At 39.2% G+C, this 26,727-nt stretch overlaps 1 protein-coding gene and 1 long non-coding RNA gene across 5 annotated transcripts, besides 2 other annotated features; one reads left to right on the top strand and one right to left on the bottom strand.

The window, feature by feature from the left end:
* On the bottom strand, positions 184 to 2,298 carry LINC02480 (long intergenic non-protein coding RNA 2480). Its single transcript, NR_147189.1, has 3 exons — positions 2,068 to 2,298; positions 974 to 1,078; positions 184 to 424 (listed from the first exon to the last, which is right to left on the bottom strand). It is a non-coding gene; the product is annotated as a long intergenic non-protein coding RNA 2480 (long non-coding RNA).
* Positions 8,592 to 9,031: a silencer, noted in NCBI's record as "silent region_15421". NCBI's record gives its function as "represses an Ori minimal core promoter by ATAC-STARR-seq in GM12878 lymphoblastoid cells {active_cell/tissue: GM12878}" and the evidence as "EXISTENCE:reporter gene assay evidence [ECO:0000049][PMID:35858748]".
* On the top strand, positions 8,804 to 26,397 carry SGCB (sarcoglycan beta). Of its 4 annotated transcripts, NM_001440520.1 has the most exons (7): positions 8,804 to 8,876; positions 13,463 to 13,672; positions 15,142 to 15,251; positions 17,240 to 17,425; positions 18,182 to 18,373; positions 19,004 to 19,135; positions 22,943 to 26,397. In NM_001440520.1, exons 4-7 carry the CDS (start codon positions 17,294 to 17,296, stop codon positions 23,144 to 23,146), a joined length of 660 nt encoding a protein of 219 aa, NP_001427449.1. In that variant the 5' UTR covers positions 8,804 to 8,876; positions 13,463 to 13,672; positions 15,142 to 15,251; positions 17,240 to 17,293; the 3' UTR covers positions 23,147 to 26,397. The 4 variants fall into 4 exon arrangements, with proteins under 4 accessions (NP_001427449.1, NP_000223.1, NP_001427448.1 ...); NM_000232.5 differs by lacking the exon at positions 15,142 to 15,251; NM_001440519.1 differs by lacking the exons at positions 13,463 to 13,672; positions 15,142 to 15,251.
* Positions 9,272 to 9,391: an enhancer, noted in NCBI's record as "active region_21552". NCBI's record gives its function as "activates an Ori minimal core promoter by ATAC-STARR-seq in GM12878 lymphoblastoid cells {active_cell/tissue: GM12878}" and the evidence as "EXISTENCE:reporter gene assay evidence [ECO:0000049][PMID:35858748]".

Raw genomic sequence — 26,727 nt, 5'->3', positions numbered from 1 at the left:
ACTGTAAGTCAATTTAACCTCTTTCTTTTTTAAATTGCCTAGTCTTGGGTATGTCTTTATCAGCAGCATGAAAATGGACTAATACAGTTACCCCCAAATTTTACAACCCTCAGAAAGAAAAATATTGGCTAAAATACCAGTATTTAAGCAGCTCCCTCAAAACAGAACACACTTTGACTAAATGTCTGTATTGCTCATTTAATAATTAGACTTACAGTGTCTTAAGATAGAATAGATCTTCGAAATCACCTTAGCATATGCTACGTGATATTTATCTCTACATATGCCCCAGTGCCACAATTAGATTCAAGACCTTTAAGACCTGCAGTCATTTCATGTACATCTTGGCTTCCCTAGAATTCAAGGATGTGTTGTGTATAGCAGGAACTTGTGTTTATGATAAGAAGCGTTGGTCTTCCTCCTGCTGATCAAAATAAAGGAAATGTTTCACATGTTTATTCATTATTTACCCTCTCTACCCTAGTACTTCCAAAAAAGGATCTGAGATGGCTTATAGTAAGACACTTGAAAATACTGTCAGATTAGTAATATTTTTAAAGGAAAAAGCAAATATGCCCAAAATGTACGCCCATGTACTAAGAGCGTCATTTTATATTATTTTTCTGGGCTTAGTGGAAGCCAAAGCAGAAAGGAAAATGAGTTTTATGATAATGATTGATGTTTAAAGTACACATACTAGCTGTTTCAATGAAAACATATTTTATTGGTACCAATCTACAATGTGTTTGCTCATTTCCAAAGAGTATTGGACAACCTAGATGAAAGATCTCTTAATAAATTTTTTTAAAAAATATGTAGAAAAAATCTTGATATTATTGTTTTGTGAAACCACCTTTGATGAATGCTGAAGGAGTAACGCTAGAACAGCTCATCAAAGAGCAGGCCAAGTAATTGACACTCCATTTTTAGTTCTCAGGTGATGTTATTTGATACAAGCTTAGAACTTGCATACCTGTTGGAATAAGTGGATGTCTTCGTAAATGCCGTTAATGATGGTCCCCTCTGCAGAGCTTTTGATGGGTGCTAAATAGCAATCAATTTAAGAGAGAGCAAAAGCCTAGAGTGCAAATAGTTTATATTGCTAATTAAAGAGTCCATGTGTGTTAAATTATAAGCATGTAGTCAATATGGCTGAGATTCTATTTTAAAAGTTGATAAGTCTTGGCCGGGAGTGGTGGCTCACGCCTATAATCTCAGCACTTTGAGAGGGCAAGACAGGCATATTACTTGAGGCCAGGAGTTTGAAACCAGCCTGGCCAACATGGCAAAACCCTGTCTCTACTAAAAATGTAAAAATTAGGTGGTGCACATCTGTAGTCCCAGCTACTCGGGAGGCTGAGGCATGAGAATCACTTGAACCCAAGAGGCGGAGGTTGCAGTAAGCCAAGATGGCGCCACTGCACTCTTGTCTTGAGTGACAGAGTGAGGAGACTCTGTCTCAAATAAATAAATAAATAAAAGTTGATAAGCCTCGTTTTTTTCACATATGACAGAAAATATCCGATAAGTAATGATTCTCTTTGGGGAATATTCTGATGCTCAAATTTTGTCCTAATTTGATTATTTTAGGACATTACCAATTAAGCAATTTTGGGAGAAGTTGAAAGAACAGCAAACTCAAAACATAAACACTGTTGCTTTATCTCACACTCTGCCAATTAGTGAATTCTTATGACTTCATATAAATCTTTAATCACTTGGAGACATTTTTTTCATCTATAAAATGAGTAATATGGAATAGATGAGCTCCCAGATCCCCTGCAGTTCTGACAGTCTTTAATACTGTTTTACCATACTGATTAGGTTCAAGATTGAGCAAATCTTGATCTTTGTTTCAATTTTTGGTTCATAGTTCACCTTAGGTCAAGCATTGATTTTGGGCGCATTAGCCAATCACCAAAAGTTGGGCTCCCTTTTTTAGTAAAATTTATTCTGCCAGCTTGCTAGAATAACTACTATTTCTAACCTCCAGTCAAGGAAGTTCTCTATAGTTGCACTTTTAACAAATTTAAACCCAGCTTAAACTGATAAACTTTTCCTAATTACCTCAACCCCTCAGAGCTCATCACTTTCTTCTTTATGCTTTCTCTCTTTAACTTTTGGACATGTTAATATTCTTGCAATTATCATGCTATATTATATTTATTTGCTTCCTATCTAAGCTTTTGAGCTTCATGAGGAAAAGGAGAGAGGCTTATTTAGCTTCATATCCTCAGCACAGCAACTGGCACATAAGAAAGAAGAAACAAGTTGGGAGCCAGGAGGAGGAAGAGAGGAAGGAAAAGGAAACAGATTGGAAAGGAAAGGATGTGATTGGCTGCTTTGTATCTGATGTCATAATCCACTGAGATAGAAGGCAATTTTAACAGCCAATTCGTGGTTCTTACGGTGTCATAATTCTACTACCTAGCCAGGAGTGATTTGTTCTAGAAAGGATAATGTGTCAAGTACGTAGATGGAATAGGGTTTTTGTTTGTTTTTGAGACGGGGTTTCACTCTCGTCACCCAGGCTGGGGTGCAATGGCATCATCTTGGCTCACCTCAACCTCCATCTCTCGAGTTCAAGCAATTCTTCTGCCTCAGCCTCCCGAGTAGCTGAGATTACAGGCATGCACCACTACGCCCGGCTAATTTTATATTTTTAGTAGAAACGGGCTTTCTCCATGTTGGTCAGGCTGCTTTCAAACTCATGACCTCAGGTGATACGCCCACCTCGTCCTCCCAAAGTGCTGGGATTACAGGCGTGAGCCACCATGCCCGGCCTTGGAATAGATTTTAATTTTGTCTACCCTGGATTTTTACCTACATCAGTCAGCTTGAAAGATTTTTAATTGGGCATTTTAAGAAGCCAACAAAAGATGAGCTGAATCCACTGCCTGAAGTGAGAGCTGAAGTGAGAGCTATGTATATTTAGTTCACACTACACCAAACATAAATATATGCAATAAATTACAGGGGATTATATTACGCAGTAGGATTTTCATCTTAATTTCAAGTCTTCTTCACTAAGGACAGTTGCTAACCCTTAGCCAGGGGCTGATAAGAACAACCTGTGTTTGGCTTGGATGCTCTTTTAAGCACTCCTCATCCTTTCCTGGCTGAGCCACGGTATTCTTCTCCTTCTGCTGTCTGTGTTTGGATCTTGTGTCTTTGGATCAGGGCCTGTATTACTATTTGAAGAAAATCTTTTAGTCTTTGCTGACCCACTTGCATAAAGTTGCCTTTAAATGCAATGTTTATCCAAGGTATTGCTTAGGCCCTTTGTGCTCAGAGGCACTTTGTTCTTGTAGGTAGCAAAACACTTCTTTGTCCACTTAAGTGTTTTCTAACCTGAGTGTTCTGTATTCTCCTTTCAGGAGTTCTGTTTTGTCCTTTTCTCTGCCACATTAAGGGAAAGGAAAATATTTTCTAAAAAACACCCATTGGAGAACAAATGAATTTATTGGGAACTGAGTGGGAGGCAGGTTCCCCCACTGACAGAAGGAAGAATGCTGTTTGCTGTGTCATACCAAGGAGCACTACCCACACAGAGCAGCAGTTCAGAATTTTTTTGTACAATTATTTCATGTGCACTATTGATTAAACTATAAAAACAAGAGGAAATTTTAAATATATCACAAGTGTATCACCTTAGCCCCTAAATAAACTATAGAACATTTGCAACAAATACAGATTAGAAGGAGAAAAAACCCAAGGTAGATGTAGTGTGATTTTGGAGAGCTGCAAAATATTTTTCCTATCGCAACCCAGGTTTCCATCATAGGTTTTTCAGAAAAGAAGGCGTCCTCACCCTCCATCTTTTCAGCTCTGCTAGCTAAATGCAATGGCAAGGTCATGGTTCTGTGAAAATCCCCCGAGGAGGAGTAAGCTCAGGACATATCAAGCTATTGCAGAGACACAGTGGATATGGTCTACCTTGCAAGATGTCCTTAAGCACATCAGGAGAGGGATATGGGATAGCACGAGATAGTCCCTAGGATGAGTGATGTTGAAATAGATCCTTTTCAGCACTTTTAATAAACATTTACTGGATTTCTAGTGTGACACAACCATCTGCCTTAAGCATGGACAGAATTAAGCTCAGTCTCTGTTCCCTAGAATCTCATAATCTATTCAAGAAAGAGAAAAGCAACCATACTTCAATGTTGTCAGTTAGAGTAGATAAACGTTCTGCGGAAACAATGACTCCTCCTTTGCCTCCTTTCCCATCTTCTGAAAAAGGATCAGGGAAAGTCATAGAAAGGTAATGTTTAGAGCCTGTTTTGGAAGGATGGAGAGACGTTCACCAGGAAGAGAAGAGCAACTTGAAACAGGAAGAATCATAGCAAAGAGGCATGAAATTGAATGGAGGGGCAGAAAATGACAAATAGTAGTCCAATGTGACTACAGAGTAGTCAGGGAATCAGAGACAAGACTGCAAAGATAGTCCTGGTTTCAACTATGATGGGTCTTATGTATCAGGCTAAAGGAATTGATCTTTATTTCATAGGCAGTGGGGAGGCAGCAAAGGGCTGTAAATAGAAAAACTGTATGATTGGGTCTCTTTTATATCACATTGGAGGTCACAGAGGTTAAGTATGGAAGGGGCAGAACTGGACCCTTGAAAGAGCACTTAGAAGACACAGAGATGAGGGTTAGTCTAGTGGCCTTCTCTGGGGTATGGTATGGTGAGCATTAGATACCGATGTCAGAGATACTTAGATGCTAGTAATATTTTTTACCCAATAGAAAAAATTAATTTAATATTCATCAGAGCTATTAAGTATGTATTATATACTTGGTTCTTAATGTGTTCAGGACTTAGAGCAACATGGAAAATAATAACACATTACCTCTGCTTTGTAAGGAACTCAGTCTAATCAGAAGCAAACTGTATATGCATGAAAAGTAAAGTAACAAGATACTGCACTAAGTATCAAATGGGTGTTACAGCAAATTAGTGCAATAATAGTTAAAAGGAAAGAGGAATAAGGACTGGCTGTGATTGTCAGGAGGAGGTAGGACTGAGGTTGGTTCTGAAAAATGGGAAGAATCTGGAGAGGCATGAATTCACAGATAACTAAAACAGATGGACAAATAAATAAATTTCAGTATAGTGTGATGTGACAATAGCAGCATGCTTGGGGATCACAGAGAGGTCCACACAAATCAGAAATGTATGATTGGGAGAAGGTTTAAGAAAGGCTTTTCAGAAAAGATATCCCTTGATCTGAGTTTTAGTGGACAAGTAGAGACAGCTAGATTAAAAGGAGAAAGAGCCACATATGCAAAGGAACAGAGCCATTAAGAACTTGAGTTCGGGCAAGCAGATGGGGGCTGCAAATATTGCACAGGGATAAAGGGATAGATTACTTTGTCTCTGATTCCCTGACTCCTCTGTAGTCACGTTGGATGTGTGTGTGGGACAGGCAGGAAACAAGGCTAGAAAGGGGCAGAAGGACCAAAAGTTTCTAACCTTTTGGTGAAGGACCAAAATTTGGTGAAGGACCAAATATAAGGAGCTTAAATTTTATCATGAAAGGTATTGGAGTATGGTAAGCTTGAGGGTGAGGAGTGACATGATCAGATTTGTATTTTAGAAAGATCATTCCAGAAATAGTATAGAACTACTTTGAGGTGTCTGACTAGATGGTGATATCATTCACTAAGGGAACACAGGAGGACCAGATTGGGAAGAAAGGTTTTGAGTTCAAATTTTTCATGTGTTGAACTTGAAGTGTGTATTTGTAACACACAAACTTGGTGGCTTTAAACAACAGAAATTTGTTGTCTTACAGTTCCAGAGGTTAGAAGTAAGAAATCAGAGCCTTCTGGAGGCTCTAAGCGTATATCTGCTCCATCCCTCTTTCTTAGCTTCTGGTAGCGGTTGGCAATTATTGGTATTCCTTGCCTAGTAGAGTGATCACTCCAATCTCTGCTTCTATGTTCATATCATCTTAGTGTATGTTGCCATTCTGTCCTCTTATAAGGATAAGGGCTCATCCTAAATTCAGAGTGATCTCAAGATCCTTAAAAACATCTGTCTTAGTTCATTTGGGCTGCTATAACAGAATATGGACTAGGTGGCTTATAAACAACAGAGCTTTATTTCTCACAGTTTTGGAGGTTGGGACATCCAAGATCAACATGCTTAGAGATTTAGTGTCTGGTGAAGGCCTGTTTCCTGATTCATAGATGTCACTGTGTCCTCACATGGTGGAAGAAACAAACCAATTCTCTTGGATCTATTTTATAAAGGCACTAATCCTATTCATGAGAACTAATCATGAATAGTGATAGCTAATCACCCATCATTTCCTTCTATGATGTGAATGTGTCCCCAAAAATTCATGTTCGGAAATTTAATCTCCAATGCAACAGCATTGGGTGGTGTTGCCTTTTGAGAGCTGTTCAGGTCATAGGGGCTTGGCATTCCTCCCCTCAGGATGACAAGGTGTTCAAGGTAACATCCTGGAAACAGAGACCAGACCCTCATCAGACAACTGAACCTGCTTGGACTTCTCAGCCTCCAGAACTGTGGGAAAATAATTTTTTGTGCTTTATAAATTCTTCACTCTCAGATGGTCTGTTATAGAAGCACAAAGTGGACTAAGTCAGCTTCTAAAGGCCCTACCTCCTAATATCATCACACTGGGGGCTAAGATTTCCACATGTGAAATATTCAGGGGAGACACAAACATTCATTCTATAGCAATCTGCAAAGACTCTGTTTCAAAGTAACACCACGTTCACAGATACTGGAGGTTAGGACTTGGATATGCCTTTTTGCAGGGCACTATTCAAACCACTGCAAAGTGAACAAAGGTGTAAGTGTCTTCATAATCTGACTCATACTCCAGCCCTGGGGACCTGTGTTTTGTGCTTCCAAATGCTAATATCATGCAACAGTCAAAAGAAAGAGCAAAATTAAAGGCTGTGATGTATGGTAGAAAGAGCAAAGACTAGTCAGATGGACCTAGATTCAATACTGGCTCTTTAGGAGTTGAAAAGATGGTCAGCCATTTAACCTCTACAAGCCTTGATTTCTTCATTTGTAAAAGAGGCATTGCCAGGCACAGAGTTGACTTTAAATGTCATTATTTCAGGGGAAAAAAGGCTGACAATAGTACATTTGAAAATAACCCACATTAAAATGTGGTCATGTGAGTGAATTGGATCTCTTTAAAAGAGAATAGAAATTGGCATTAAGAATAGTGGGATGTCCTGTCAGAGATGGACATCAGCGATGAGGAAAGAATCCAAGAGAAGGTGATATTCAAATAGCCAAAGGAGCATTTGGTTTCAGGAAAATTGGCTACCAGGTATCTCACCACCTAAGTGGGAGGGAGGTTGGCAAAATCAAGTCAGGGCTTAGAAATTGGGATACTGGGCAGATTTCTAAGATATCTATTAAGTTTAATTACTGTGCTAGACATTGGAGATTAAACGATGAGTAAGACACCTACCTTCCAGATAGAACACACCATCTTTTGAATGAAATCAGCAGGTAGACAAGATAAAAATACAATGCAATCTGAAGTGCTAGAAAAGGCTAGGCACACAGTTAAGGAACAGATCTGTGGGAGCCTCTGAAGCCTTTAGAGAAAATATGACGTTTGAATAGAATAGTTCTTGAAGGATGAATAAGAGTGCGCGTGCCAGGGAAGAAGAACTTTCCCAGCAGAGAGAAAAACGCAAAGCTTAGGAATTAAGGACTAGAAGATAGGAACTCAGAATCAGTTAAAAGCCCAGTTGTGCAAATTGATCAATGAGACCACAGGCAGAATATTAACACAGAGCCTTACTGCTGACTCCTGCATCATTGGGCTTTAACTTAGAATTTTCCTGCCTAAAATGCATGTTTGTCCCACAGACTCAGAGAGGAGTGAGTCTAGAGATATGAGTCAAGTGGTTCCAGCATTTAGGAAAAAAGAAATGCAGAGAGACTGATGACCAGCTAGGTACTGACTCCCACTGAATTAGACAGTACTAGGGCCCAAAGGTGCTTATTAGAAGTGATTCAGCTACATGAGGAACAGTTGCTATTGACTTCACTGCATTTTTTTTCAGCTAAAATAATTATTGGATTATATCTACAACAGGGAACAATGAATGTCTACTCAAGTAACTCGTACATTTGAGTGGCTTCCCGGTGTTCAGTAAATGTCCGTTCAATTAGGTTCCCGAGGATATACATGGTAACACTATCTCCAACACTAAATGAAAAATCCATCCCCAGTATCGCAGGATAAAAACATCAGACTTCATAGGCCTCCGAAGTCAAGCAGCCCGAAGGATTCAACGTCCTCCTTGAGGACTCTCAGTCTTCAAGACTCCAGCCACCTAAGTGACCACTCGTTCACTTCTGCCCACGCAGTCACCACGCCGGTCCGCGTCCACTTGTGGTCTCGATATCGGCCCCTCCCACCCTAGCCAAGGAGACCTTGGTCCGAGAAACAAAGAGAGCCTCACAGCTCCGGATGGCACCGATCTTTCAGCGATGGGGAACAAAGGGGAAGGGGAGAAGCGTCCTCGATTTTTGAGGGTGCCCTTTCTGAGGAATCTGCAGGCGGCCCGGGGTGGAGCGGAATCCCCATAGGCCCCTTCTGGCCCCTGTGCAATACAACGCGCCCCAGGCCAAGGTCCTAGGTGCAGGGGCCGCCGCAGAGCCTGAGCCCGCAGGGCTGGGATGCGGGTCGTCAGGGATGCGGGCTGGGGAGGGGAGGGTGTGAGCAGCGGGTGCCCCCAGTCCCCGCCAGGGCGCAAGCGCAGGCGCGCAGGGTGCGGTCGCGGAGGGGCGGGCACAGTCGGGCGGGGAGCTCGGCGGCGGCGGGCGCGGGAAGATGGCGGCAGCGGCGGCGGCGGCTGCAGAACAGGTCTGTGAGTACCGCCGCGGCCGCGGGCTGGAGGAGCGGGGGAGGCCGCGTCCTGCCGGCTGGGCCCGCGGGAGCCCTGGCCGGGGGTGCGGGGGGCGCGGGCCGCAGGGTCTGGGTTCGGCGGGGCCGATCGGGGCGGGGCGGGGCGGGAGGAGCTGTGCCCCGCCGAGGATGCTGGCACAAGCTAGGGACCAGGAGCCAGGGGCGGCCTCGGGCTCGGCCCGGCCTGGCTGATCCTCGGAGGGGGTGAGGAGGGGTCTCCTTCCGGAGAGCCTGGGAGGCGGTCGAGCCAGCCTGGAAGCCTGCGCTGGGACGTGCCAGGGACGTACCCCGTTCAGCCGCCAGCAGAGATTTGGATAAAAATAACCGCAGCCCCAGCGAGAAGGCTCCTCTTACAAGAAACGGGTCAGCTGTTGCCCCGGTGTCAGCTTGCCATCTTTGTTTTTTGTTTCTGCCATCTCCAATATGCAGACATCCCAGATTTCCCCTCACGCTTTGGTTTTTGAAGATTTAGTCACCAGTCTAAAACTATCTCCTGTTCACTTTTAAAAATGATTTATCCAAGATTTCCTGACCTGCATTGTAAACTTGTAACTTAGAATGGTTTAAAAGGCTCCTCATCCCCCCAAAATCTAGTTATACGTATGCATACATGTACATGCATATGTGTGTGTGTTAATATATACATACACGTAATCGCTAGGGTGATTTATTGTAATACAGATAATTTTCAGTAACTTTCCCCCTTACCTAACTTACTTTTCCTTTGAACAATTATAGTAGTTTCTCTTTAAAAAGTCTCATTCTAAAACATTGTTGAAAAAAATGAGTCAAGTTTTGACCTTTGGAACGATTTTCTTAGATAATTAACTTTTTAGAGACCTATTAGATATATGTCACTGGAGGGCTCATTCTGAAGATAAAAGACGTAAAATCTCTCTTCAAGGAGCTTAAAGTCATACAGCCAAATACATGCAGAAAAAATCAGCTAAAGACAATAGGCAGGCTGCAGATTTGTAACAGTAAAATAAAACATAGAGGAATGAGTGAAACTGAAAGGAGACAAAACTTCTTGGAGTTGGTATTTAAATTGTGCCTTGGCTTTCCTCATTTCCCGCCTAAGTTATCAGCTTCTGTTTCAGATGATTGTTTTTCCATCTGGTTCTATTTTTGCTTTACACATAAGTGGGGCAGTCTGATCCGTTACTCAGTCTCCACTTCAAATTTACGCATTACGTCTCCAGCCCTGAACTTAACTGAATTTTCCATAGGCACCTCAAACTCAAAAATGTTCAAAACTGGACTCTGTCATACTTACTATTAAAAAGGCTACAACCATCCATTCACTTGTTTAACCTAGCCAGAAACTTAGGACCAAGGCCATTTTAAGGGAGCTGAGAAGGACCTGCACTTGGTTTAATGTTCTGCTGTCCTGGGCTTGAGATTTAAACAGTGAGCCCCACATTTTCTTTTCCCCCTGGGCCCCACAAATTATATAGCCAGTCCTATTTGGGAGTCATCTTCGACCCCTTTGTGCCACACTCATATCCAAACAATCACGAGATCCTGACAGTTCTACCTCTTAACACCTTTCCCCAGACTTCAGCTTCAAAGTCAAACCTCAGTCAGTACCTCATTGGGACTCTTAGAGAAACCTGCTGTTGATATCTTCACTTCTAGGCTCTTCAGTTCCAGTTCATCTCTTTTTGGAGTGATTTTACTACAATGCAAATCTGATTGTATAGGAAACCTATTTTAACTCTTCAGTAGTTCCCCTTTGCCTTCAGGATAAAGTCCATTGTTCTTGTCATGGTATTTATGTTGCTTACTGGCCCCTAAGCACATCTCTCATTGTATTTCTTGCTTCATCCCTACACCTATCCTTCTCACCATCCACATAAAGTGACCAAAATTAGTTCTCCCAGAGATGGTTGCCTCTCAAAGTCTCCATGCTTCTTCCTCTGCCTAGAGTGACCTTCTTAGCTCTTTTGCCTGGTTAACTCCTGTCCATCCTTCAAGAGTTAACTCAACCTTCAGCTTTTCTTAGAAACTTTCCCTGATGCCCTTGCCTGCTAGGTGGAGATGCATTCCTCTTCTGTACCCTTTCTGTATTGTATGCATTGCTCCACTACAGCACTTGTCATGCTTTGTGAACTGTTAGTCACCTTGTCTGTCTACCTGACTGGCCTGTAATTAAGCTCCTTGAGGGTGGACACTATGTTCATCCTGGTAGCTTGGAGCACCTGGCTTATAGTAACTATTCAATAAATGTTAAATGCATCAAGATGAAGACAGTAATGTGCATGGTTTGGCAGAGAAGAGTAAAGACTACGTCTCAGGAGGGATGAATTTTGTCCTTTCTCTCTTTTATGTGGACCTATATTCAAACTTTGGCTAACACTTTTAAGTTGCCCATCTGTTAGGGCTGTCAGAAGCCTGAGGTTCTTTTTTGGAACCTGACTACAAATTCTGTTAAGTCTTCTCTTAAAGTATCTACTTAATCTCTCCTTTTTCATCCCACTTTAGTTTAGGTCCTCTTAACCTCAATCCTCCATTACTACAACATCCCCAGCAGCTTACTTACTGGTACTCCTCTTTCTTCTCTCTCGTACAAATGCCCACACCTTTAACACTCTGAATTTGTGCTCAAAAACCTCCAGTGACTCCCAATTAAATAGAACATAAAGACTAGAATTTGTACCCTGCTGTCCAAGAACCTTCACAACCTGGCCCTACTTTTCCAACTTCCTCTTCCCTGCCTTGCCATATCTGACCCATCTACTTCTCCCCATTTCCCTAACAACTCCAGGTCATCCTGTCTCTCCTCCCTTTGAACTCTGCAGTGTGTATTGCCTAGACTATTGATTTTGGCACCTGAACATACAGAGTGCTTTATTGCATTGTTAAATATTTTATGTTAACATGTACACAAATCATATCTGTTAATACATAGAGGATAAGGACCCTTTCCTATAGTTCTTTTGTATTCCTATCTATGGAATTAGTGTTTAAGCGTAAAGTGCTTAATACATGCGTATTCAACAACTGAATTTTCTCAGAGCTTTAAGAAATAAGTAGGACAGTATCCATTTCTGCCCATTTCTTTTGTGCTCTTGATATTCAAGATTATTACCCAAAATGTCATTCAACCATAGTCTAGGTCAGAGGTTCTCAAATCATTTTGGTCTCAGGTTCTCTTTACACTCTTAAAAAATGGAGGATTCCAAAGAGCTTTGGTTTATGTGGGTTATATTCATTGATATTTACTATAGGAGAAGTTAAAATGGAGAAATTTTTAAAGTACAGGGCTATACAAGCATACATTCTGTTGAGTGATGATGCCATCACATTGGTCATGTAGCCTTTACATTCATGGGCCTAGGAGAGTAAAAACAGCAAACAGTATCTCAGTGTTATTTCAAAAATACAGCCCCCCAAAGGGTTTGTGGAACCCTCCCAGGACTCCCCACCCTGCATTTGAAAACTACTGATCTAGGGTAATGTGAGCTCTAGTCAGTGAAATTATAAGTAACAAACTATGTCAGCCTTTCCGGTCTTATTTTCATATAAATGAAAATATATACCGTTGTCCCTCAATATCTATGGGGGATTGGTCTCAGGACCCCCAAAGGATAGCCAAATCCATTGATGCTCAAGTCCCTTATATAAAGTGGTGCAGTTTTTGCATGTAACCTCTGCACATCCTCCTGTATACTTTAAATCCATCTGCAGATTACTTACAACACTGAACACAATGTAAACACTATGTAAACAGTTGTTATACTGTATTGTTTAGGGAATAATGACAAGGAAAAAGTCGTACATGTTCTGTACAAATGCAACCATTCCCTTTTTTTTTTTTTTTTTTTTTTTTTTTTTTTTTTTTTTTTTTTTTGAGACGGAGTCTCGCTCTGTCGCCCAGGCTGGAGTGCAGTGGCGGGATCTCGGCTCACTGCAAGCTCCGCCTCCCGGGTTCACGCCATTCTCCTGCCTCAGCCTCCGGAGTAGCTGGGATTACAGGTGCGTGCCACCATGCCCAGCTAATTTTCTTGTGTTTTTAGTAGAGACAGGGTTTCACCATCTTGGCCAGGCTGGTCTTGAACTCCTGACCTCGTGATCCACCCGCCTCAGCCTCCCAAAGTGCTGGGATTACAGGCCTGAGCCACCGCGCCTGGCCTCAAATATTTTTGATCCACAGTGGTTAAATCCATGGATATGGATCCCATGGATATGGAGGGCCAGTTGTATACGTAAAAAAATTAATAAATTATTAATAAAAGCAGTTACTCACTATAGGATACGTATGACAACTCTGCTCAGAAACAAGCTGTATACTTTGACAGTGGGACTGTTGAAAGCAGAGAGGAAAAATATCAGATAGTGACCTTGAAGTTTCTTCTGTACTTTCCTTCTAAGCACAGTTATGCCCTTATTTGGAACTGCAACTCAATGTGATTTGCAGTTTATTCATGGAAAATGTGTCAGTAACCAATTCAGCTTGCTATAGCTATGAATTTGCACCTAATAGATAAATGCACCAAAACGAGAGGGTATAGCTGTTCCATTATGTTGTATTTCATTTTTAGCAAAGTTCCAATGGTCCTGTAAAGAAGTCCATGCGTGAGAAGGCTGTTGAGAGAAGGAGTGTCAATAAAGAGCACAACAGTAACTTTAAAGCTGGATACATTCCGATTGATGAAGATCGTCTCCACAAAACAGGGTTGAGAGGAAGAAAGGGCAATTTAGCCATCTGTGTGATTATCCTCTTGTTTATCCTGGCTGTCATCAATTTAATAGTGAGTATTTGTAAGAATACTCATTTTAATTGCCATGGGGAATTTTTTATCTGCTTTATAGTGAAATCATAGACTTTATTTTCTCCTTTTCTATACATGTCTTGTCTCTTACTGAATTTTAATGAATACTTTATTAAAAAAACTAGTGTGCTAATATTTTCATATATTAATTTCATTTACAAAAAAATGTGCATGGGTTTATCCCTTTAATGGACTTAATTTTTAGCAAGGATAGAATTATGAGGCTCCCACCTAGCTCAATCGGTAGAGCATGAGACTTTTAATAAGGATAGGATCAACTCAATAGAAGAGAACTTTGCCAAGATGATTTTATTGCTTTCACATCTCCTTAAAAATATAATCCTTTCTGTTTTCATTTAACTTTTCCTACATTTAATGTTGCCTCCTCAGCTGGATTTTAAAATTTTAAACCCTTTGATGGCAGTAAAAGGTTATATTTTATAGTCCTAAGTCCCCGTTGTCAAAGGATGCAAGAATCTGGTAGGCTGATTCACACTAAAGTACTGAGGACCTGATAGGATGCCTTTTCCAAAGATATTTGCTTTTTTAATGAAGAAATCCTTTTAATCTGAAGTTGTGACTGTCTGGGGTTAAATCTGAAACTCTGGCATGTGCATGTACAGATATTTTCAGAAGGAATGATTATTGATATACTTAAGACTGATCATGAACATAGTCTGCAGCAGTTTTGAAGTGATTCTTTTTGTGTTATTTTCTACTTCTAATGCATGCAAGGCAGTCTTTTTGTATTTATGTATGTCCAAAGCACTTCTGTCTAATTCTTCACTCAAATCAGAAAGACCTCTTCCTATATATTTCATATTAGATATATAAATTTTTACTAGGAGCACAAATCTGAATGCATTTTATTTTATAAATGTATTTTATCGGAGACTTCTGGTCAAGATGGCAGCATAAAGACATTTTTATCTTCTTCTCTAAAAAGCTCGTTCCAAAGTAACAATGTCACGAAACAGAAATATCTTTGAAGAAAGTCGGAAGCAACTGAAATCCTAAATCATAATAAATGAAGACACAAAGTAGGAGGAACAATGGCAGATAACTTATCAGAGAGGAGAATCTGCTTGTTGGGGAGGGGATGTTGGTGGAAGTACCTTGTAGAACCCTAAAAAGCCTTGGGAATTAGAAGTTCCAGTACCTTGAAAAGCAGAAGTGAGGCAAGAACTGAAAACAGAGAAGTCATTTGAAAATCTGTATAAGAAGCAGTGAGATCCCTAGGCCTCCTCTCCCTTCCAGCCAGCAGTTAGACAGCTACCCCTCCTAATGTCATACAAAACTAGTGTGTCTCTGGACACACTGGACCAGAGAGGATTCTATCTGCCTGCGGATACTGGAGGGTAGGGGTTGGGTTTCCATACTGAAACAGGAAAGTCTGGGTCCTGAGACTCCCTTTCCCACGCTCTCTTTTCCTCATTCTCCACCTCCAGCTCCCTGGCAGCCAGGCAAGAGACAGAAGAGCCTTCTCTGGGATTCCTGATGCATATAGAAAAAAGATCTGAAGATACTGTCATTTGGCAAGTCCCGGTGAAAAAGCCATGTAATTTCCCTCTTGTGACACCTGTCAGTCACAAGCCCTACCCCTCAAATAATTTTCTATGAATTCATCACTAAGTATGAATACTGAGCCAGGGATCAATAGACTTTTGAGGAAAGTGCCAAGAATTGAAAAATGATAGAGATGAAAACTCCTAAACCATGGAAAAAATAGAAACTCATGGAATAGAGAAAATGCCACAAAAACTACCAAAAAAACAAAAGCCCTAAATTCAGTATTTTCAGAGAAATAAGAATATACTGCATCAATGAAACAAGAATAACATGCCATTTAAAAGGCACAAGCCAGGCACAGTGGCTCATGCCTGATAAAGTGAGACCCTGTCTCTACCAAAAAAAAAAAAAATTAAAAGGAACAATTAAGAACTCATAGATATGCGCGTGCACACACACACACACACACACACACACACACACACACACACACATACACACACACACAGAGATGAATGGGTGGGTGGGTAGATGGATATAGGTAGGTAGGTAGGTAGGTAGGTAGATAGACAGAAGACATTAGAAGATAAAAAAACTCTTCCAGAAATTTCAACAAAATTAATCAACTCAGGAGCTCTAACATGCTGTTAATAGGAGTTTCAGAAAGAGCACAGAAAACACTGGGGGGGAAATGATCAAATACATAAGTCAAGAAAATTTCCTAGAACAGATTGAAAACTACCATACTGGGTCCAGCGTAATGCATAAAAAGACACAACAAGGCCATTATTATGAAATTTAAGAAAACCAGTAATAAAAGATCCTAATATCTTCCAGAGGGGGCAAAAAAGCAGGTTATGTATAAAGAATACAAAATCAGAATGGAATAGGACCTCCCAAAAGCAGCATTGGGACCTGGAAGGCAATAAAGCAATGGCTTTCAAAATTCAGAAAGAAAATAATTTTCCATCTAGAATTGTATACTTAGCCAGTCCAGCAATCAAATATGAAGCATTATAAAGACGTATTTTTGCCATGCACACTTTCCAAAAAATTTTACTTCTCATACATTGCTTAGAAGCCACTGGAGGATGTGCTCTACCAAAAGAAAGATGAGGATACAGGAAACTGGGTGTCTATCAGAAGAGAAAGACAAAAGGAAGTTCAGCATGAACGTAAGGGAAAGTTTATGATTACAGCTGTGCAGGGGGCCCATACAGACCAGTCCAGCCCACGCAGACCAAACCAGAAAGATACAGGTTCCAGAAAGATTTCCTGAGAGAGAAAAATAGAACTAATATATTATCTGAGAGGCTCAGACCTACAGAAAATTGTATTGAGAGATTTTACAGAAATAGTGGAGGATTTGAGATTAATTAGATTTTTAAAGAAACTAAGGAAAATGAAGTATTAAATTCTGAGAGACAAGGTACAGGAAAGAAACTGCCATTATAGGACATATTTGGTTTGGTAATGAACAATATTTATATGGTTGTAATACTGAAAATAATGACCTTGGATTTAATTAAAACTTGAGATTGGAGCTGGAAAAGAAAAGAGATATAAATGAGCTAAATTTATCATCTGCTAAAATAGAAAATTAATAATAAAACCTAAATTATGATAAATGAAGAAATAACATATTTAGAAGAAATATTTGTTAGATATTTTAGAAATATATGTTTAGAAGAAATACATATATTTAGAAATAAGGAGATAAATTCTAGATGAAATAGCTAAATTTGTTGAAAGTGATTGTTCCTGGGAATGAGATGTGGAGAGGGTAGAAAAAATAAGAAACTATTCATTTTAAATTATAGACCTTTAGCACATTTTGACTTTTAGCTATTTGCATGTAATACCTTAATAAAAATAAAATTCGTTTTGTTTATAAGTGGAAAATTAATTGATATATTTACCTCACTGATAAAACATTTTAGGAGGTCTTTAACATTTTGGTGATAATATTTTCTATTTGTTTTCCAATTACATTAAATGTATGCGGCCTACCAACAGTGGACTTGTGTTCTTTTTCAGATAACACTTGTTATTTGGGCCGTGATTCGCATTGGACCAAATGGCTGTGATAGTATGGAGTTTCATGAAAGTGGCCTGCTTCGATTTAAGCAAGTATCTGACATGGGAGTGATCCACCCTCTTTATAAAAGCACAGTAGGAGGAAGGCGAAATGAAAATTTGGTCATCACTGGCAACAACCAGCCTGTAAGTTGCCACATTAACTGAAAGAAATGCAAACAGGAGAGGGGCATTAGAGAAAAATACTTTGCAAAAACCTAGTTGATTATTGGAAAGAGATATTTTCCCTTAGAAAAATTAGTATATTTATAATATATCTATAAATGTATGAATATAGTGAATACAGTTTAAAACATCCATAAATATTAATATTTAATAATACTATTGCTTTTATCATCTGTTAAAATTAGATGATTTCTTAATATTTGAGATTTTGTTCAATGGTAGCATTTTCTATGACAGATGTAATTTGTATGAGAATACATAGGTTACTCTTTTCTCCTCCATATGAGGAAGCCATTAAGAAAGCACTTTCCCAGGTGAGAATACTCTGTAGTTTTGGGGGCTCTTGAAGAGAATATGCCAATCTAGTCAGTGGCATCCCATGCCAAGAGCTGAAAACATAGTTTTCAACTGAATAAAACCTCAAGGAGGTATTCTTACCACCACCCCTGCCTATCTTAGGCCTTGGGCCATGTTCCTCCATGACTCATGCATTTTTGCAGAGCTAATGAGCAAATAAATGTATAAACCTTCATTCTAAAGAACTCTTCTTCCAAGTGGATGGAGGGAGAACAGACAGAGTTAAACGTATTTGAAGTTAGTCTGTTATTGGGGTTTTTAAATTTCTGTAATTTTTGTAATTTTTAAAATATATTGTTCAGGAATTTTGTTTGCAGTCTTCTTTGAAAATATATTCACAATAAACTGTTTTTTTTGAAGATTGTTTTTCAGCAAGGGACAACAAAGCTCAGTGTAGAAAACAACAAAACTTCTATTACAAGTGACATCGGCATGCAGTTTTTTGACCCGAGGACTCAAAATATCTTATTCAGCACAGACTATGAAACTCATGAGTTTCATTTGCCAAGTGGAGTGAAAAGTTTGAATGTTCAAAAGGCATCTACTGAAAGGGTATGATTTATTGGCTTTGTTTTACTAATGGGAGAGAATTATTCTCTAGAGTTATAAAGTGGGAAGAGAGTTATACTGTTGTTGTTTTTTTTTTGAGACGGAGTTTCGCTCTGTCGCCCAGGCTGGAGTGCAGTGGCGCGATCTCGACTCACTGCAAGCTCCGCCTCCCGGATTCACGCCATTCTCCTGCCTCAGCCTCCCGTGTAGCTGGGACTACAGGCGCGCGCCACCATGCCCGGCTAAGTTTTGTATTTTTAGTAGAGACGGGGTTTCACCGTGTTAGTCAGGATGGTCTCGATCTCCTGACCTCGTGATCCGCCCGTCTCGGCCTCCCAAAGTGCTGGGATTACAGGCGTGAGCCACCGCTCCCGGCTGAGAGTTATACTGTTTTAAAGTAGTATAAAAGAATATATTCCAGAACACCGGAAAGGATTAATTCTAGATTTGTAATTAACTAGCTTGTGTGATCATTATCAAGTCATCTTTATCTCAATTTCCACATCTCTAAAACATTAATAGAAACATTTGACTTTCATCTCTCATGACTGAAGCTTCTATTTCTCTATCTCTGATAACAATTCTCACATTAATTTAGAAACTCTTTTTAGTACTTGTTTTTTAAATTTTCAGATTACCAGCAATGCTACCAGTGATTTAAATATAAAAGTTGATGGGCGTGCTATTGTGCGTGGAAATGAAGGTGTATTCATTATGGGCAAAACCATTGAATTTCACATGGGTGGTAATATGGAGTTAAAGGCGGTGAGTATTCTTTTAAGAGCTTAAGAGAATTATTAGGTTCTTGGGTACATAAATCCATATGTGGAATAGTATACAATTATTGAAAATGATATAATTGTCTATTTTTTGACATGGAAAGATGTTCAAAGTGGGTTGTGAAGTAAAAGAAAGTTACAAAACAATTTGTGAAATTCATTATTTTTATTTTTCAGAACATATGTATGTTTATAAAAACCTAGCAGGGTGTGCCAGAATGTCAACAATGTTTAGCTGTGGATAGCAAGATAACAGATTATTTGTTTTATTTTTATTTCTACTAGCCTGTATTTTCTGTTTCTTTCTCTCTTTTTTTTTTTGTATAATGATCACTTGTATTGTTTTAGAAGGCAAAAAAAAAAACCTTCTAAAAGAGAATTCTGGAAGATCAAAGTAAATATTCATGCCTTGTAGTTGTTGTTTTTAATTAAAGATTTTTCACATCCCTCCCTGAGTTTCATATCCAATGATGTGAAAAAAAACAATTAGCAAATTTATAAAATTATTTTATTTAGATATTTTTATTAAAAATGTATTTTTAATCTATTATTAATTGTAAAGGAAAGAGGTTTTTGTCTTTATCGTGGCTGTTGAAAGTGAATTTTCTTTGTGCTTAACAGATTAAATCTGAACTTTAACAGGTATGGTATTTCATGTGCCATAAGTCCAAAAACTTTTTAATGTCTCACAATTCTGGTCAAAGTATACTTATTCAAAATGCCTTTGGGTACCTGCAATATGCTATTTAATTAAAGCGAATTAAATTTGTCTTACCAAGTATTACATGACAAAAGTGAACTTAAACGTAGGGACTTATCATTCTTTCTTATTAAAAAAAATTTCAATTTCATAGTTCCTGGGAAAAATACTTTTTAAAAGTAGTTGTTTTACTTTTATAAGCAGTTTTTCCCCCAGAACACATAATCCCATCTCTAAATAATAAAGATGGACATAAAATGTAATTCTTGCCAGAAACTCAGTTGCCTACAGAGTTAATTTGTATGTATATTGTGGTGTAAGAAGCCATTCTTCTAAGAACACTGTTGAAGAATAGCCACAGTACAACTGCTGTTCTCAGCAGTAGAAAGTCACAGAAGCAAGAGATTTGTTTAGAGACCATTAGCAACTTACCAAACCTTTTATTTTTTTCTACCTGCCACTTCTTGTCCCATTCTACCTTGTAGTTAATATGACAAATATTTAAATACTTTGAAATATACATATACACATATCAGTTTCTCTACTGTTAAAGGAAAATAACCTAGTATTAAAAAGATAATTAGCTTTATAACTTCGTTAATATCAGTGGTTAGTTCTAAAGTGTATAAGCCAATCATTAGAAATAATTTTATCAATTAAACTGCTTTTTTGAAAAAGCTGTTTAAGAAGCAATTTAGGCCGGGCGCGATGACTTACGCCTGTAATCTCAGCACTTTAGGAAGCCAAGGCGGGTGGATCACAAGGTCAGGAATTCGAGACCAGCCTGGCCAACATGGCGAAACCCCGTCTCTACTAAAAATACAAAAATTACCTGGGCGTGGTGGCGGGCGCCTGTAATCCCAGCTACCCGGGAGGCTGAGGCAGGAGAATCGCTTGAAACCAGGAGGCAGAGATTGCAGTGAACCCAGATCGCGCCACTGCACTCCAGCCTGGGAGACAGAGCAAAACTCCGTCTCAAAAAAAAAAAAAAAAAAAAAAAAAACCAACAACAAAAAACAATTTAAAGAAAGTAAAATTAAATGACCACAAGATGGCAGCATTGGAACAAATTGGAAAACTAGTCACTTAAGAATTACTGTCTATTCCATATACTACCACTGCATAATCAGTTAACCATCTCCATTATTTATAACCAATTTTCTCTCTTTGCTTTAAATACCCTCTGTAAGCCGATGCCTCCCAAATTTGGAATTGTGCTTTAACCTCTCCTCTGAACTAAGAGTTACATATCTAGCTGCCTGCTTAACATTATCCATTTTGATATCTGATAGGCATCTCACATTTAACAATTGAAAAGTTAGATTCTCCATCCCCACAAGCATGCATTTCTTTCAGTATTCTTGTACCATTAAATGACACCCATCAGTCCATAGCAAAGCCTTCTGGCTCTACCTTCAGAAGATACAGAGTCTTGCTGTTTCTCACCACCTCGGCCATCACCACCCTGATGTAAACTGCCATCATTCCCTGCCTGGATGGTTGGAACAGCCTCCTGGCTGATCTTCTTACTTCCAAGTATTCACTCCCATAGTCTGTTTTCTACCCAACAGCCAGAGTGGCCATTTTAAAAAGATCAAGTCATTTCTGTATTCAGAATCCTCCAAATGCTTCCCGTATAATTTGGAATAAAATCTAAAGTCTATTCCCTGCCTACATGTCTGATCCTCAGTTATTTCTTTGACTCATCTCCTACTGGTTGTTCCCTTCACCCTCCGTGCTTCTTCCACACTGGCCTCATAGCTGTCCCTGGAATCCAGGCACATCTTCACCTCGGGGCCTTTGCAGACACTGTTACCTCTGCTTTGAGTACCCTTCCCCAGTTACCTAGACAGCTTCCTCCCTCACTTCCTCTAGTTTCTGTTGGAATGTGTGACCTTATCAAACCACAGGTGGTCCTTCCTGAGCACCCTGTGTAAAACTCAGTCCCCATCTGCTCACTCTCTACTTATCCTGCTTTATTTCTCCTCATAGCATTTATCCCACCTGATGTCTTATGTGTTTTACTGTTCATTTTTTTTATTGTCTCCCCCTACCCCATTAAAACATCAACTCAATAAGAACTTGGGCTTTGCCTGTTTTACTTACTGCTGTATTCCCCAGCACCTAGAATAGTGTCTGGCATACAGCAGGCACTCAGTAATTATTTGTTGAGTGAATGAAAAGAAGAAAGGAGGAAAGGGAGAAAGCAAGAGAGTCCTAAGAGTCACTAAAAAGAAGGATTTTAAGGAACTACAATAAGAGAATGTTTCTGGAACAGTGGGCGTGAAGAACCTCCAGACTAGAGTGCCTGGTCTTCAAATTATATGGTTTGAATCTTCATTTGCAGTGTTGCAAAAACATTGGAAATTAAAATTAATTCCCTCTAGGAGGAAAAGTCTTTTTTTTTTTTTTTTTTTTTTTTTTTTGAGACAGTGTCTCGCTCAGTCACCCAGGCTGGAGTGCAGCGGTGTGATCTCTGCTCACTGCAAGCTCCGCCTCCCGGGTTCACGCCATTCTCCTTCCTCAGCCTCCCAAGTAGCTGGGACTACAGGTGCCCACCACCACGTCCCGCTAAGTTTTTGTATTTTTAGTAGAGACGAGGTTTCACCGTGTTAGCCAGGATGGTCTCGATCTCCTGAACTTGTGATCCGCCCACCTCGGCCTCCCAAAGTGCTGGGATTACAGGCATGAGCCACCGCGCTTGGCCAGGAAAAGTCTTTTTGTACTCATGATCACAAACTTACCAATCAGTACCTTTGTTATAGTTCTCTTAGGACTTACAAATGAAAATGATCTGAAACTTTATCAACATCAATTTTATTATGAACTTAGGAATTCTGATGTAATTTTAACTAACAATAGAGGAATTATGTTGCAGATTTATTTACATATGTTATGGATATATGAAGTGAAGAAGTCACTCATTGAATCCTGATATTTTGTTTTTTATTGTTGCTGTTGTTGTTTTGTTTGTGACTTTACTCTTTCTTACTGCTTGCTTTTCTCATTGATATTTCAGGAAGTTTTGTTTACTGACTTTGTTCTGTACCCCCTCATGGAGGTAAATAAATCATATTACTATTCTCCTAATAGGAAAACAGTATCATCCTAAATGGATCTGTGATGGTCAGCACCACCCGCCTACCCAGTTCCTCCAGTGGAGACCAGTTGGGTAGTGGTGACTGGGTACGCTACAAGCTCTGCATGTGTGCTGATGGGACGCTCTTCAAGGTGCAAGTAACCAGCCAGAACATGGGCTGCCAAATCTCAGACAACCCCTGTGGAAACACTCATTAAAAGAACCCCAGAGGTCACCAACATGTTTATATCTTGACTTGACTTTTTTATGCATGCAAATCATTGTTTTTACAGAGTTTGTGATAACTCATAATTATTTTAATGGCAGAGCACTGCTGTATCTGTTTTATGGTCTACATAGTTAAAATCTTCTCAGAGAGCCTAAATTCTAATACATTTTATTAATTTATACTAATCTTCATATTTACTGTTCTCTAAAATAATTATGAGAAGCAAATAAAATCAAAAGTCATGTTTAAAGACGTGTTTTTAAAATTCCACTATCCCTTTTCTAAAGGTTAAAGGTCTGAAGCAGCTGTTTAGATTCACTGTAAGTAAACTTTGGTAACTCTAATGGGGATAGACCCACTTAAGATATTTAAAAAGGTATGGCATCAGCGTTTCATGCTCTGCCTTTTAGCTTCTAAAAGGAAAGATGCAGATTTCTAGTGCATTAAGCCTGAGCCATATTCTCACATGCAAGTGAAGTCATTAAAGAACTTTACATATGTGAGATAGAAACAATGGTTCCTTAGTTTTGCACTGGGAAGAAAATATTTTGTAAAAGAATGTTTATTTGAAATAATGATAACTATCAATTGTTCACAATGTGGTGGAAATTAAAACACCATCTCAGCTTTAACTTTTAAATAATAATGATAACTATCTTTATTGAGCATCTTCTACATCCTAGGCATTGTCCTAGGCATTGCATGTTTATATCCCCAATTCTCACCACAACCCTGCAAGTAGGTGGTATTATCCAAGTTTTACCCATTAAGAAACTGAAGATCAGAGAAGTTAAGAAACTTGCTCAACATCATATAGTAAGTAGCAGAGTTGGGATTGGAATTCAGGCATGACTCAAACCTGGATGTACTTGATTCCAAATGCCATGTTGTTTTCACTCTCTGCACTGACTTTTTAATTATTTAAAACTCTAGAAAGATGAACAAAGGTTAATTTAAACTTACCTAAGAAGATGAGAATCAAACAAAACAGATATGCTTACTCTAGTTAAAAAGAAAATAAATCTCATGTCAGACCCAGAAAGGACCAATCACTGTCCGATTGTAAGCTATGTTGGGCCAATTCCAAAATATTATACGATGGAGAGGTCAAATTTACCTACTTCTGAGTTACCTCAGTTTCCCAACAATGGACCTTGGCACACTGGAGTAACAATACATAACAGAGTTGCCAAGATATTTATACCCTCAGCACTCGGGGCAACACAGTGGAAAGTGGGGAGGCCATAGACCCAAACAAGTTCTTTGGGCCAGGCATGGCCTAGTAAGTACACCATGCCTCGAAAATAAGTCCAGAAGCACTGGACTAAAGAGTGCTAATGCAGGAAATAATACACATAATTTTTAGGTAAGGATAATAATTTATCTCTGCTCCTAATATTACTATCCCATTGTAATTATTTATAACCCTCAAGCCAGTTGATTTTTAATATATTTGATTGGAAAAGAACTCTCTGGTATTATTAAGACTCACACAGAATCAGGGACAGGGCCCCCAAAGGAGTTTGCTGTAAAATAGGCAGTAGAGTTGTGGCATGGGCCCAACCCTGCATTCAAGTGTAACAGCATTCTGTCAGGGTCACTTTGAATTGTGCACATAAGAAAACCAATACAAAAAACAATTTGTATTCAATATTGTCACATTTCTCTCTGGTAGAAAAATCAAATACCTTAGAGATTATGAAGTCATTAATTTATACTGAAATTGGATTGACTTACTACCTAACACTGAGCGCTGTTTTTAAATGAAAAGAATGAGATTTATAACCACTTGAGTGTTATTGCAGTGATATTTGAACTCATTTGAATATATTCAGTATCATTTAATGTCTGAATTCAGAAAAAAATGCCGAAATTTTTATTCAGATGGTCCATAAATTAAATTGCATATTCATTACTTATCTGCTCTATTTAGATTTATTTTAAAAGTTTATTTAAGTAAATATTTTTATAAAAACCAGAAAACACTGTATTACAAAATATTATTTATTAAATGTAGTTCAGGAAATAATCTATTTTTACTCTTTTTTGGGAAATACTTGTGTTTTTGATACATCTCCATGAAGTTCTTTTGAGAGGAGAGGCTATTTTGATGTTTTTATACAACTGAAGGTTAACAGCCATAGCATTTTATGATACTTTACAGGTAGTCCTGGCTTTTTCCCTGAAACATAAGCTTGGAAAATCTATTAGAAAGCAGAACAGGGCAAACTCTCCATTTTACTTATGGCTTTTCTAATTTTTAATTAATTAATTTATTTTTTTGAGACAGAGTCTTGTTCTGTCGCCAGGCTGGAGTGCAGTGGCACAATCTCGGCTCTCGGCTCACTGCAACCTCTGCCTCCCAGGTTCAAGCGATTCTCCTGCCTCAGCCTCCCGAGTACCTGGGACTACAGGCATGTGCCACAGTTCCCGGCTAATTTTTGTATTTTTAGTAGAGACGGGGTTTCACCATGTTGGCCAGGATGGTCTCAATCTCTTGACCTCGTGATCTGCCTGCCTTGGCCTCCCAAAGTGCTGGGATTACAGGTGTGAGCCACCACGCCTGGCCGGCTTATTTTTATCCACAGTAAATCTTCAGCAACTCATTGTCTCCACCAGATAGTATTTTTCTGTAAATGAAATGCTGACTTCGCCTCTTCCTGCTGTATGCTCATCCCTGCACTGAGCACAGATATGACAAGCAGTAGCCATGGGGGAGGTGGGTGACAAAGATAGGACCCCGGGAGGGGGCGCAGGTACATGCTAGTTTCAATTACCACAGTATTCTAGAGACGGGTTGCAATGACAAGGGGGGCAAATGAAATCAATGCAAGATTTCTTAATAATGGGCAGACAGAAAAATGTAAAACCACACAAAACGGACTGCTGATAATATTTTAAAATATACTTATTTGTCTTCTTTTTGCATTGTGAAAAAAACAAAATAAATTTTGTGTGATAATTTTGATGATGAAAGGTGGAAGTTCTACCTAGATTTGAATGAGTGTTTTTTTAAGGGAATGAGAATGTCATGGTGCTAAACCTGACAAATAAGAGATCATTGAAATGCTGAAAATTTTAACAGTCTTCTTAAAAGTATTGAGGGGGCAAAAATTACCAATTATGGTATACAAAAATAAGCCTATAAATGTGTTTCACATTGCTAACTTGAGTTTCAGTTGATTCAGTTTGTAATAACTAGTAATGAGCTTCTGTTTACAATAAAAATTCTGTAAATTGTTTGCTGTTAATTTTTTAAGGGTTATATATTAACTGTTTTCTACTTAGTCATGCGAACGTGATGAATTTAAATATGGCTTGAGAATGGGACGCTGTCAGTATTTATGTAATCTCTCTGGACTCCTAGAACTCAAAGTTAGAAAGTTGTACATTCCAAGTTTTGAATGCCCTCCTCTCTGTGCATTGCAGAAGGCCTCTCTCCAGTGGTGCTTCCCTGGTGTCCTAGGGGAAAGTGCACACTGTCACCATGGCAGGAGGCCAAAGCCGGAGATGAAAGGGTGAGGGCTGGCCACTGGGCAGCCTTGATGGCAGGTTGGGTGGAGCCTCAAA

Source organism: Homo sapiens, chromosome 4, assembly GCF_000001405.40.
Source record: "Homo sapiens chromosome 4, GRCh38.p14 Primary Assembly".
Lineage (NCBI taxonomy): Eukaryota > Metazoa > Chordata > Mammalia > Primates > Hominidae > Homo > Homo sapiens.
The sequence above is the reverse complement of the archived record's forward strand: the minus strand, read 5'-3'. Positions and strand labels throughout refer to the sequence as shown.

Excerpts from the sequence above, each read along its gene's own strand:
- SGCB (NM_000232.5), top strand. The coding sequence starts at position 8,844 with ATGGCGGCAGCGGCGGCGGCGGCTGCAGAACAG. Across the intron at positions 8,877-13,462 it reads CGGCGGCGGCTGCAGAACAG|CAAAGTTCCAATGGTCCTGT; the intron begins GTCTGTGAGTAC and ends TTTCATTTTTAG. Across the intron at positions 17,426-18,181 it reads TCACTGGCAACAACCAGCCT|ATTGTTTTTCAGCAAGGGAC; the intron begins GTAAGTTGCCAC and ends TTTTTTTTGAAG.